The sequence below is a fragment of the Homo sapiens genome, chromosome 3, assembly GCF_000001405.40.
Source record: "Homo sapiens chromosome 3, GRCh38.p14 Primary Assembly".
Classification (NCBI taxonomy): Eukaryota; Metazoa; Chordata; class Mammalia; order Primates; family Hominidae; genus Homo; species Homo sapiens.
The window spans coordinates 13,628,756-13,642,462 of record NC_000003.12 but is presented as its reverse complement, the minus strand read 5'-3'; the positions used below and the strand labels follow the sequence as shown (position 1 = coordinate 13,642,462).

The 13,707-nt window shown below is 57.1% G+C and overlaps 1 protein-coding gene across 3 annotated transcripts in view; it reads right to left on the bottom strand.

The window, feature by feature from the left end:
• Nucleotides 1-4,058: 4,058 nt before the first annotated feature.
• The window catches only part of FBLN2 (fibulin 2), an 89,280-nt gene continuing 79,631 nt past the window's right edge, over nt 4,059-13,707 (bottom strand). For all 3 annotated transcript variants that reach the window (NM_001004019.2, NM_001998.3, NM_001165035.2), the window contains 7 exons: nt 13,415-13,558; nt 13,171-13,299; nt 12,518-12,643; nt 11,648-11,764; nt 11,006-11,134; nt 5,895-6,018; nt 4,059-4,901 (listed from right to left, as the gene is read on the bottom strand). In NM_001004019.2, coding sequence (NP_001004019.1) covers nt 4,544-4,901; nt 5,895-6,018; nt 11,006-11,134; nt 11,648-11,764; nt 12,518-12,643; nt 13,171-13,299; nt 13,415-13,558 — 1,127 coding nt within the window. In that variant the 3' untranslated portion in view covers nt 4,059-4,543. The remainder of the gene's footprint in view (nt 4,902-5,894; nt 6,019-11,005; nt 11,135-11,647; nt 11,765-12,517; nt 12,644-13,170; nt 13,300-13,414; nt 13,559-13,707) is intronic.

The window sequence follows — 13,707 nt, the reverse complement described above, 5'->3', positions numbered from 1 at the left end:
GGCACAGTTCATAAGAGCTGTTCTTTCTGCCAACAGACAGAGAAACAGAGACTGCCGATGGCTGTGCAGCAGAGTCCCATGAGGGAAGGCCTTGCATGGAGCTGGCAAGACAAACCAAACATAGAAGCCCCAGGAGGCCACCAATGGGCCCTGACAGGGAAAGGCGAGCCACTGACTCTCACCTGGGCTTTGCCTCCCTGGCAGCAGACGCTTGAGGTACTATAAAAGTGTGGCGATGGGAGACAGTGCACGAATTTGCACTGCCCACTCACACTTCTCCCGACCAAGGGACACACTTTACAGCCCTGAATGTCCCACAAGGGGCAGAGCACTCTCATCCTTGGCGTAAGGTTGGATAGAGAACTGGAACATGTCATGGATACTGGTTGTCTAAAACAGAGGTGGTGGGGCAGGAAAGAGTGACTTGCACGCCATCACAAGTGTGTGTCCACCCCAAACATGAGAAGGGCCAGGAGAGGGTCCCTGCTAGATAGAGTCCCACACCTCTTCTTTTCTGTTTTTGTTTTGTTTTGTTTTGTTTGAGTCTCACTCTGTTGCCCAGGCTGGAGTGCAGTCATGCGATCTCAGGTCACTGCAACCTCTACCTCCCGGGTTCAAGCGATTCTCCTGCCTCAGCCTCCCAAGCAGCTGGGATTACAGACGTGCACCACCACATCCGGCTAAATTTTTTTTTTTTGTATTTTTAGTAGAGATGGGGTTTCACCATATTGGCCAGGCTGGTCTCGAACTCCTGACCTCAAGTGATCCACCCGCCTTGGCCTCCCAAAGTGTTGGGATTACAGGCGTGAGCCACTGTGCCTGGCCTCCTATGCCTTTTCTAAGAGAACTGGGGAAGGGAGGTTGCTGGTAAGACTGCTTTTCTTTTCTTCTCCACATCACCTCGCCTTCCTCCTTTCCTATCTGCTGCAGTGGCCCCAGGACCAGGGCTGCAGCTGCAAGTGCTGAGGTAGCAATGACTCCTAGGCAGGAGGGTGCACCTCTAGCTCCAAAGCTTCATGCCAGAGCTCCTGAGGGCTGATGGAGTGGATGGTGCCTTCACCCCATCCGGAAAAATCAGGGCTGCTAGTGAGGGCAGGCACATTGCCTGGTGGTGGAGACAGCCCACTAGTTCTACACCTGTGAAGCCCCATCCTACACCAACCGGAGTGGACTGTCAGGGAGGCACTTGCTAGGCTGGCATTGCTTCTGACAATCCGGCCCAACAGCATGGCCGAACCTCATGGCCCTTCCAAAGGTGGAAATACCTGGATACAAATGGAGAAAAGGAGGAACCGGAGCTGAGGGTAAAGCAACCAGTACGTGGGTTATGTAGTGAGGGAAATCCTTTTTTTTTTTTTTTTTTTTTTTTTTTTGCGACGGAGTTTCGCTCTTGTTGTCCAGGCTGGAGTGCAATGGCACAATCACAGCTCACCACAACCGCCGCCTCCCTGGTTCAAGCAATTCTCCTGCCTCAGCCTCCTGAGTAGCTGGGATTATAGGCATGTGCCACCACACCCAGCTAATTTTGTATTTTTAGTAGAGATGGGGTTTCTCCATGTCGGTCAGGCTGGTCTTTAACTCCCAACCTCAGGGGATCCGCCCACCTCGGCCTCCCAAAGTGCTGGGATTCCAGGCGTGAGCCACCGCGCCCGGCCGGGAAATCCAATTTTACGTGAATCCTACATTACAGTACTACCTTAAGAGCGGCGTGGAGGGCATCGTCTCAGCTCAACTACACTAGATGCCTGAAAGGGTGACGCCAAGGCCGCCTCTGCTTTTGGAACTTGACAAGGTCGAATGGCAGCCTGCAAACCTGAGTGGCCTCACCCTGGGGGACATCTGCTGATCTGATGTGGTGATGGACTAGATAAACTGCTATGACTGAGTGGGACTCCGGTCTTCCTTTTTAGGTGACATCCACCAGACTGCAATATGGTCCTACCTGGCACGGTTGATAAGGTTATAACGTTGATGGTGATGGCAAATGTATTGAAACCCTGAGTTCCAGCCTCCTCAGGATGTAGCAACGATGGAGAATGACACCTGCGGAAGAGCTAGGTGGAGCCAACCCCGGGCTAACGCCTGCACACGGTGGTTCTTTACATGCTTCATAGGCACGGGCAGCCCTGCCACAAGGGAGGAAGCAGGCAACGCTGAAGGAGCTGCCCAGACAAACGTGACTATTCCACTGCGAGAACGCTGGGGCCGGGGCCGGGGGTGGCCTGCAGGGTGAGCTCTCGGCCCCCAGAACGTCCTGGCTGGCACTGGAGTACCAGCGTTTTCAGGGGCTTTGCTGCCTCAGTTCTGACCTCTGCGAGGGACTGGAGACTTAGGGCCAGCCACGCTGACAGCCAGGTGGTCAAGCTCCCAGACACACCTGGACCCCAAAGGTGCCCTGTTCAGCTCTATTCTGTTGTGCTGCATCCTGAGGACACGGGAGCTCCGTGACTGGGCTCTCCTGGACTCTGCTCTAGAATTCATCAATGACTTTAACCTGCTTCCTTTCACCATAAACTGTCTGAGTCATGCAGGTGAATTAATGAGCCTGAGGGTGGATGTAAGGACCCCCAAACCTGTAGCCCATTGCTCAGACGTGAGGGTGGTCCTAGGGATGCCTGAGCTTGTTTCTGGTGTGCAGTTCTTGGTCTGCAGTGAGGGTAGTCTTGTAGGGGCTATTCCCTGAAGCTGCAGTTTGCCAAACTTGCCGGCATGGAATTCTAGAATCACCTTAGAAACTCTAAGGTCCGGAGAGAAGTTGTTCTCCAAGACCCTCCGTATGGATGCGCTGGGTGCCAAGTTCATTTTACTGGCTCGATGGCCTGTGCAGGAAGAACAGCTGGAGCCCCTGTTCACAGGGGAGACCAGTGAGGGGAGGCGAAGTCACTTGCCTGAGGTCCCAGAAGGAGTAACCGGGGCTGGGTAGGAGCAGGAACGGCTGCTGCCAGCCAGGGGTGTCCCTAACCTGCCTGTCCTGTTGAATGGAGCCTGTCACCTACTGGTTCCCGCTGGTGGGGACTGTGCACCACAAAGGTGCCGGATCTAGTTTTTCTGAAAATCAGCAAAATAGAAGGAACAGAGACAGCCCGGACAGGGACAGGGAAGACCTGGCTTCTGCTGCACCCTTGGGGATGGGGGCCGGCGAGGAGCAGGGACAGAGGGCCCCCACCGCAGGCTTCCGGCAAGAGGCTCCCAAACACCTGTCCTTTAGAAGCCTGAGCAAGTCGCCACCTCTTAACACTGAGAGAGTTTGTGTTGAGGAATGAGAACATCTGGCCATCCCGGGCCACGCGCCCAGAAGGCGGCCTTGCTGGAGCCAAGTGTAGGCGCCCCCTTCACACAGGGCATGTGCTGCCCAGCGCGCCCCGACAGGCCTGCTTCCCTCCACCCACAGTGAGAAACACTTTCTACCAAAAGCCAGAGCTAGCGTGCCCACGCATAGGTGCACACGCCCCATGTACTGTGGTTTGGTGAAGCAGTTCTTCTCTTTACAGGGTGTGAAGCACTCATATCTCATCTGCTCTATTCTACGTCATTTTAAAAGTGCTGGCTGCCGCCCCCTATATTTAACTCTAGACCCACGGAGCCCGAGCAGGGTCATCAGAGCTGGGTCCCGACACCTGCTCTGATGCTCGCTGTGGGCTGGGGGCACATCGCTTCCGCTCTCAGGGCCTCAGTTTCCCAGGTTCCTTCAGGCTCCTGCCCAGGTCTACTGCCTGACCTGACAGCTCAGCAACAGGGGCCAGGACAAGTTCTGGACAACATCCAAGTGACAGGCCATCAGTGGAGGTCTTCATGGGGGGAAGGCAGAGGAGGGAGGAGGGAGGAGGAAGGAGGAGGGAAAGCTGAAGTGGTAAAAGCAGAATAAAGAGCCTGGTCAGTGACTGATCACACTGGGGTGCCCTCATCCCAAAGTGAACTTCAGGTTCGGGGCTCGTTGAGAAGGACATCAAGGTCTTCATCAATGAATTGACATGCTGGCCAGGCCATAGAGCCCTGTGACATCTGGACAACGTTGTCAAACTCTGAACACTTTACAAAAGTAAAGGGACCAAGAGGCGTTTTCCTCTGTTACTTTATAACCCTTTCATACTAGTTGAACTTTTTTTTATATAATGTACATGTACTACTTTATAGTTAAACAAAAAACTTTAAAATGATTTTTTAAAAAAGAAAAGAATTAATCACAGTGGAACATGAAATGGAATGTCAACTTTGGGGACGGGTCATCCAGAGGAGTCCAAGAGCCCCAACATGGTCGCGTGTCTCTGGTCCTCAGGTCATCACCCAGCCTCACCCACAGGGCACCCGCCACGGCCGTGGCCCACCGTGCAAGCTTCCACTTGGTGCCTGCGTGGGAACGCACCACCTGCCGTGGAACTTCCTCCTGCGGGGCAGAGGAGGGGTCCAGAAGCCACAGGAGTCAAGTCAGCAAAATTAAGTTAATTTACAAAGTTATAGTAAAAACCACAATAGTGACCCAGTCCCTCCCACGCAGTGTGAGCCCTGGGCTGCGCCACACCCGCAGGTGGCCCGTGCTGGCACCTCACAGGGCAAAGGTGGTGAAGAAGATGTGCATCTTGGCCAGGAAGGTGGTGACGGAGCCCTGCCTCCAGAGCTTCATCTCCACGTCCAGGGCAAAGTCCCGGGGCTCCAGCACGGCCCGCTGCAGGTAGACCACACCCGTGTAGGCATTGAGCCTGCGCGTGCCAAAGTAGCCCTCCTCATTGCCCTTGATGATGTTCAGGGCGATGGTGTCCCCCGTGAAGGCTGGCGCGGGGCCAATGCGGAAGATATGCGCAGGCACCAGGAGGCCCGTCTGGAAGTTGAGCTGGTAGTGCGTGATGCGCGCTGGCGAGTTCTGGCACTCCAGGAAGTCATGGCACGTGGTGCGCTCGCACTTCCTGCAGGGAGGATAGGCCGGGTCACCCACAGCTCGCCCACCCCCCTCATCCCCAGACGGGGACACAGATGGCACAGCTCAGCGGCAGGATCAAGGGCCAGCTCTCTCCCTAATGGCCGGGAAGCCTCAGGCAAGTCCCCTTACGTCCCCTGGGTCTCAGTTTCCTTGCCTGCGAGATGAGGTTAATAAAACCTTCACCGGCTCACTGGAATGGGTGAGTTTAGCATGGCACTGGCCAGGCTCGTTAACAGCTCTTACCTGTCCCCATGCTCCTTTCTTCCTCCCTCCTGCCATCCTCCCATTCTTCCTTTCTCCTTCCTTTTCCCTCTCCCCTTCCCTTCCTCCTCCTTCTCCCTTCTTCCCAGTGCACCCAGTGTCCCTCCCAGGGTCCCTCCCAAGTGCCGGGCCGTGTGGCTGGTGGCAGAGTAGCGGTCTGTCAGTTCTGAGGTTAAGTGAGGTTAAGGGGCTGCCGCTGGCACTTCTGATACACTGAGCTGGGGAGTGGCATGTCACAAGCAGCCTTGTGGAGGGGCTCATGTGATGCGGAGCTGAGGCCTCCTGCCCAGAGCCCCATGAGCAGTGGCAGGATCCCGCACCCCGGACAGGCAGCCCCTGAGATCCTGAGCCAGACCACCTAGCTACACCACTCCCAGGCTCCTAGCCCTCAGACACTGCGTGACAAAGAGTAAGTATCTGTTGTATTCTGGTGCTAAATGTTGGTTGGGATAACTGGTCACACAGCAGTAACTACCATGTGTGTGTATGAGGAAGAGGGCTGGTGTTTTCTGTGTGTCTTTTCCCCTTCCTTCTCTCAACCCTGAACTCTCTAAAAGCTACTTATATTTGTTTTGGTCACCTAGCCCACAGACCCAGCAGTCAGGGGCTGGGACGAGAGGGAGGTGATCAAGGCAGGCGCCCATCTCTCAGCCTCTCCCTGGATAGTACAGGACCAGGACAGGCTCCCTGGGACTGGGACTGGGGTGGGGACACTCACGTTTTGGAGACTTGGACATAGTTGGGAGGACACTCGAAGCGCAGGCAGCGGAAGCTACCCTGGATGTTGTGGCAGGTCTCAGCCTCGGAACAGTTGTGGGTACCCAGTGCACACTCATCCACGTCTGGGGGAGAAGAGGGGCAATGGCAGGGTCCCCACAGCTGGGGGACCCAGCCTGAAACTCCCCAGCCTGCATGAAAGGCCTGGGCCCCACGGCAGCCGGACCTGTGAGAATAGCCCGCGTGCCTCCCTGCACACACATGCCCCATCTCACCTGCTCGGCACCCCGCAGCAGGGGGCCTGGCTCTAAAGTGTCAATCACCTCATGTCATGCCCTCCCAAGGCTTCTCGCGCTCCAGAATAAAGCCCAGCTCCCTCCCCTGGATGCCAAGCCACACAGTGCAAGGCTCTCTGGCCTCTCTAAGCTCCTTCTCTTCCACAGAGGCCACAGTCCTGCTGGACATCCTTGGGCTGCCCCAATAGCCTGACCCTTATCCTACCCAGGGCCTTTGCTGCTGCTGGAACGCTATCCCCAGCTTTTCCTACTGCTGGAGGCTTCTCATCTTTTAACTCTCAGATCTTGAGTCACCCCCTCCAGGATGGCCTCCCTGACCACTCTACAGTGGTCCTCCTGCCCCATCACCCTCCATCCCACCCCATTTTATCATCCTCCTATGGCTCCATGCTCTGCAACACACCGAGGCTGTTTGGTATGGCTGCATGTTTTGTATGTTTCTACCGTCCCCCCTCAACCTGGGCTCCAGGAGGGCAGGGGTGTTTGTCTTTCTCATTCCCATGCTGTCCCCAGTGCCCAGTGGAGTGCCTGCATGGAGCAGCGCTCAATACTTCTTGCTGGATGGAAGTCCAAGACCCATCACTTGCAAGTCCCGACTCCGAGACGCAAAGCTATGAGTCAATGTCCCCCATGAGCAACAGACGTGCTCACGCTTCCTGTACATTCAGAAGCAAACATACATGTGCAACTCCAACAGGCACATAGGTTCAGCACACACGTGAGCACACGCACACCTCCACAGGTGCACAGAAACAAACACACAGAAGGCCCATTTGGGACAAAGAAACATACACATATAAACGTCAACAGACATATGAATAGATACCATTCACGAAAGCTCAGAGAAGCAGGGGTGGGGTAGGGGTGTGTGTGGGTGTGTGTGTGTGTGTGTGTGTGTAACCCACAGGCACCCTGGAGGACAAAAGGTCTTAGAAATGGGTTCTTGAGAAACTTTGAGGATGAGCTGCTCAGCCCAGAGAGGGCCGCCTCAGGAGGCCTCCAGAAAGTCCCGTGGGGTAGGGGCAGGGGGTGTTCCAGGGGCAACCACAGAGGGCTTCAGTTTTTGTTTTCCAATCCTCCATATTGACACCATTTAGGAATTTGTCCTCACTCAGTCCTCACACCAGCCCTGTGCAGCGAGGGTCACTGGCTTCCTCAGACAGAGGAGGGTGTGGAGGCTCAGAGAGGGGCAAAGCCTTGCTCAAGATCACACAGCAGCGAGCGGGGCAGCAAGTCAGGCATGCCTGATGCCAAAATCTGGGACCCAGTCATGATGCCAAGCTGACTCCTAACAATAACAACAACATAATAGTAATAATACCAATAGTCAGCCTGCCTCCAGAGTTTACTGCCTGACATCCCTGTGATGCTTGAGGGACTCTGCACCCACGCCAACCCCACGGGGCAGGTGCAGGTGTCCACAAATGTGCCCAGGGTCACATAGCTGCCAGGGCAACGCCAGGACTCAATACCCCCGGACCGCCTCAGACTCTGGGCTCTTGGCTGCCAGGCTCTCTTGTAGCGGGTCAGCTCACATCTATTTACCTCTCCAGGCCTCACTTCCCTCCCTCCGTAAAATAGGCCCCAGGGTGGCGCAGAAGTGAGTGGGAGAAAACACGGCAAGAGGCCAGGCAGGGTAGAGCCCAACCGGGTGGTCCCAGGCTGCTGATTATTCACTCGTGGACTCCACATGGAGAGGGCCTCCTCCTGCTCCTTGGCCTATGCCCCCGGTGGCCCGCTCCAGTGACCCTGGAGCTTATGTGGGTGGGGCAGGAAGGACGTGGGAGCTTTTTGCTTTGGCTCTGGGCTGCTGCTGATGGAGATGCCCAGAAGGGAAGGGCCAAGAAGGGTGAGCGGCTACAGCCTGGCCTCACCAAGCTCGCGGGAGGCGGTCAGTCGCAGGTCTTCCCTAACGCCCCAGGGCCTCGCCCATCGGCGCTGCCAGGCCCCTGGAGAGCGCAGGCTAACGTGGGAGCTGGACTAGGCCCCGTATCCAGGGCTGCCATCACAGCCTCATCAGAGACAGCCAGGGTCAGCCGCAACTCAGATGTGCAAAAGTGGGTGACAGAGCAAAAAGGACGAAACAGGGGAGTCCTGCAAAATTCAGCCCCGGAAGAGAGGCTTCCAAGGGCTTCTGAAGGACTTGAGGCCCAGAAGCCCACAACAGCTCAGGGGCAAGACCGAGAGTGCTGCTCAAAGCTGGCCTGCCCCATCGAGTGGCATGCAGAGATGGGCTCTTACTACACAGAAACGACCGGGACTCAGAGTGACTTTCAGCTGTGTGTGTGTGTGTGTGTGTGTGTGTGTGTGTGTGTGTGTTTGCAGTGTGTTTATATCTGCTAAGGGAAAGACTGGAGGGAAATGCATGCAAACATGAGCAGTGGTTCCCACTCAGCTCAGTCATGGGGTCAACTGTCCAATGAGCACCTACTATGTGCTGGGCATTGCTCTAGATGCTGGTGAGCCGGACAGATAGGGCCCTACCTTCATGGAGTGTGCATGCCAGGTGAGAGGGCTGAGTCTAAATTCCTTCGGATTTTCCTGTCCTTTTCTTTTTTAACTATTGGAGAGAGGCTAAAGGCTAACGGGGACATTATCCAACACATTCTTTCCCCCAAGCCAGCCTCCCCCCACCCTGTTTGAGCCGAGAGACCTCAGGGTTTGGCCCAAGCCAGAACAGGAGAAGAGGACAGCCTCTTAGCTCTGAAGGTCAGGAGCTGCAGAAGTGGCTACATGGAGTGACCTGTGAAATGGATGAGGCCGGGGAGCCGGCAGCCCCCACTGTGCCCTTGCCCACCATGTGAGTCAGAAGGCTCTTCCAGAAGGAAGGTCTGGAGAGCAAGCGAGGGCGGCAGATGTGCAGGTGTGGGGCTCTACCTTGCCCCAACCTCCTGGTGGGGCTGGTGGCACACTGGGGGCCTGCAGAGGGGACCTGGCCTCGCCAGTTCTTCAACACAGAGCAAGTCGTCGGGGCAGAGGAGCAGCCACCCCAAGAAGAGGATGCAGAGACGGGGTGGCGGGCAAGCCCGGGCAGGAGAGAAGCGCTAGGGTCAGGTGCACCCACGATGGGCATATGCCAGGTCCCGGGAAGCCCTCTCTAGTGGCTAGCCAGGCACATGTGGGCATCCAGGTGTCCTGAGCACCCCCAAGGTGTTTGGTGTAGGTCAGAAAATAAACAGCCAGGGAGAGTCTGTCCTCAATGCAGACAGGTTTGCATCCTGAAACTCCTCCAAGAGCAAATGTCACTGCAGTGTCTGATGGGGCTTCCTTGAAGTGGCCACACTTGTGTTCTGCCACCAGGAGGAACAGGGCCTTGGTGTCACATGTGAAATCACAATCTAGAAGGATAAAGCCATATTTCCTGCCGAGCTGAGCACACGGTGAATAGAATCCTTACCTTTTACGGAGTCCATACCGACTTTTTTTTTTTAATTAACAAGAAGAGGGCTTTGCAGCCAGCAAGACCTAAGTAAGCCAGCTTCTGTGGGCCGAGCAGGCCTCCCAGTCAGTGATTTATAGGGTCTTCTCATGGTCTTCTGACTTAACTTACGACTCTGATACGTTTGCATCCACCCACACAAAGGACTCCTTGTGCATTGGGACTAGGTACACACATAAGGGCTGGAACCTAGGGTCACACTGCACTCTGACCTGCCCCATGCCACGCCACTCCACTCTGCCCTATGCTGCTTTCTGTTCTATGCTAATGGAAAGGAGAACACAGGCAGCTGGCTGAAGTCTATCGACTTGATCTCAGGATCCACTGACAGGTAGCAACCACCAGCCTGCACTGTGCTGAGCTAACTCCAAACCCTTCTGGGAGCTAACTCTGACCCCTCTGCTTTTGCGGGCCAAGAAAATGCCCAAGGCTGGGCCAGGACCCTGGTCACACCCCGAAAGCTGCACCCCAGGGAACTCCAGGTTCTCAGCTCCATGTGTGAGGAAGACCTGGCCACTGAAGTCAGGAGGAGGTCTGAGCTCTGCGGCGCCAAGGGACCGAGGGGCCGAGGGAGCGAGAGGCCAAGAGGCCATGGGGCTGAGTGGTTGGTTCTCCTGGGGCAATGACCCCTTCTGTGTCCTGGCCCCTCACCTTGCCCTGGTGGCTTACCAGGCCCAGAATCCGGTGGCAAATGGCACTGAACTTAGAAGTACGACTCTCTAGCAGAGGAGGAACATTAAATACCACAGAACACGGTCTCTATCCAGGGACACAGTCCCCTCTCTTGCAAATTCCACAGGTGACTGCCCAGCTCTTGTACATCCTCAATAGCAGGGGAGTGGGGGACCCTCCCATTGTGCAGCCCCTCCCAGCTCTACACAGCTCTGATGAGGAGAATGCCCTTCTGCACCAGGGTTGGGAAAAGCCTCCCCATGACACCCTTCTCTACTCCCCAGGATCCCGCCCTACTCTCTGGGTCCACAGACCTGCCTGATCCCCTTGTCCCTGCATAACACTGCAGAGACTCGGGACACTGCCTGGGACCCCTGCGGCTCTTCTGCCGTCTCCTCACTGGGCAGGCTTCGTGCCTCCGTAGAAACACCCCATAGTATCTCTGTTCCACTCTCAGGGCAGGGTCCAGAGCTGAGCACAAGCCTGGAAGATTCTAAGCTGGATTGAGCAGCAGCAAGACTGTCACGTTCTTCATCCCAGGCACAACCTCAGTTAACATGGCCACTGGTAGCATTGGCCATCCTGCATTTATTCACTGGGTGTGGGGGCTCCAAGTGCACGCAAGCTGTGTGAGCTTTTCTGTGCCTGCTTGGAGCCTGCCCAAGGCCCTGATGGAGGCGGGGGCGTGTGGGGGGACTTGCTCACCCTTGCAGGACCTCCCGTTGGCCGTCATGGTGTAGCCCTGCTCAGGGCATGCACACTGGTAGCTCCCTGGCACGTTGAGACAGCGGAAGGTGCAGAGGATGCCGGCGCCTTGAGCACACTCGTCGATGTCTGTCAGAGAGAGGTTCAGCCCCTGGTGAACCTCGTCCACCCACAGAGCCCAGCCACTGACAGTCAGCCTGTCCCTGTCACAGCCATAGAGCTTAGGGGCCCATTTTTTAAATGAAGACAAGTGGACTGAGAGAGTAGAAGAGAGTTGCCCAAGGCCACGAAGCAAAACAGGACTCCCACTCCAGTGCTTATGCCCTAGGGCTGCTCCGTGACTGCTACTACCAGCTGAGGGGACAATCAGATGCCAGTCATGGGCACCTATGTAAACTTAGGTCTTCATCCCCCTGAAGTCAGGACCATTCTTCCCATTTTACAGAGGAGGAACCTGAGGTCAGAGTGGAGAGGCAATCTGCCCAAGGTCACACAGCCAGGAAACTGCAGGGCTGGGGCTTGAACTCAGATCTGATGCTAAAACCTTTCTGTGTCCATGGCCCAGCAGGGACTCTCGGGGAGCCTGGCACAAGGGAAAGGAGTGACTCTCTGGAAGGGGGCCCTTGGACAGGGGAGAGGTACCTGTGCAGGTGTGCCCATCCTCAGCCAGCTGGTAGCCCTGGCGGCAGTAGCACTGGTAGGAGCCATAGATGTTGGCACACTCCTGGCTGCAGCGCTGGGCCTCACACTCATTCACGTCTGCAGGGACACCAGCAGGCAGTCATGGCAGGGCCCAAGTCTGCCTTGGAGAGCCCATCCAAATGCTGTCTGACAGCCAGGCCCACCAAGCTCCCCGGCCTGGACTGGGGTTGACCTATGCGAGGGCCAGCTCTCCTGCCAGGCCTGGTGACTGGGAAGGGATCCATGGCCTCCCAGGGGTCTCAGCCAACTCACCTCACCAGGAGAAAATGAGGAAATTGCCTCCAGGCTGGGGAGGGGCTGGGAAAGACCGTGCCAGGTAAATGGGGCCAAGACCCCATGGCCTTCTGGCTTGGCCCCTCGCCCCCTCACTGAGCAGCCTGGTGGCCTTACTCCACACCAGTCCCCACTGAGCTGGGGCCAACAGCACCATGAACACACATGGGAATAATGTTACAGCCCCTCCCTCAGCCACAGGCGCGTCCCGCACAGGTAGGTACACGGACCTTGGATGCCTCAGATACCCTATTTGTGGGTACAGATGACACAGAGACCCAGCCTCTCTGGACTGAGGGAGCTGGAGCCCCAGGACCTCAGCAGGGGAATTCAGGGCAGAAAACAACAGAAGGAAGGTGAGAGTGGAGGCCAGAGAGGGTTGGGCCAGACAGAGGAGGAAGGAAGGGCCAGCATGGGTGAAGGTGTGAGGGTGAAGGTGTAAGGGTGAAGGGTCACAGAAGGCTCTGGGCCTTCCACGGCGGGTCTGCCCACTACAGATACCAGGCGGCATAGGGTCAGAGATGAGGGCCAGCCTACCTTCACAGCGCTTGCCGTCCGCTGCTAGCAGGAACCCGGAGGCGCAGGAACAGCGGTAGGAGCCGAGTGTGTTCTCACACGTGTGCTGGCACAGGCGGCCTGGCGAGGCCCAGCACTCATTCACGTCTGTGGGAGGGCAGGCAGCAGGTACAGGGTAGGTGGCCCTAAAGCCAGCTCCCTCCACCCCCAAGGGCCATCCAGGGCCGAAGGGGAGGCTAAGTGGGAGAGGGACCCAGAAGGAAAGACAGGGAGAGGCCAGGACAGGGAAAGAGAGAGGCAAAGAGACCAGGTGGCGGGGAGGCAGCAAGGGTATTGGAGGAAGGCGAGAGGAAGAGGCCAGAGGGACAGACACAGGCAAAGCAACAGACAAGAAGAGATGGTGACAGAGACCGAGGGAAGCAGGAAAGACCAGAGTAAGAGGGGCAGAGGCACAGAGATGAGACAGGAGGGACTGAGAAGGTGGGGGCGGGGGCCAGAGCCAGGTCCTGGCAGGCCCAGCAGGAGGATGAGGCCAGCTGGAAGGCGACCTTGTGGACTCCAGCAGGTGGGCCCCACTCAGGCAGTGGAGGTGCTGGGCATGGGGAGGTGGAGTGCACAGAGGGCAGGGGACCAGCCAGGTGTTCCCCAGGGGTCCTGGCCACCAGCCTACCTACCGATGCAGCCCCGGCCAAAGGCATCCCGCTGAAAGCCGGCTTTGCAGTCACAGCGGTAGGAGCCAGGGAGGTTGTGGCACACTTGGCCCTCACCGCAGCGGTGCACACCTGTCTCACACTCATTCACGTCTGTGGGGGGTGAGCAGGGTACCTTGAGGCCTGGGGCTCCCTCCACACACACCTCCCAGGGGTGGGGAAGCGGGCAGGCCGGGCTGGCTGGCAGGGCGGAGGCGGCTGGCCTTACCCACACACTTGGTCCCATCATCGCTGGCGTGGTAGCCGCGCGCGCAGATCAGCGGGTTCCTCTGGCATGTGTAGGAGCCCACCGTGTTGATGCAGCTGAAGCCTGGCCGACATGGCTCGGACAGTGACGTGCACTCGTTGATGTCTGCAGAGGCAGGTGTAGGTGACAGGGAGCCCGGCATGGTGTCCTCCCAGGCCCCAGCCCCTCCCAGGGCCACACTGGGAGGGGGTCGGTCCTGGGCTCCAGACCTGCCCTGGTCAGAGTTGCAGGGCCAGACTGTCCTACCCCTGTGC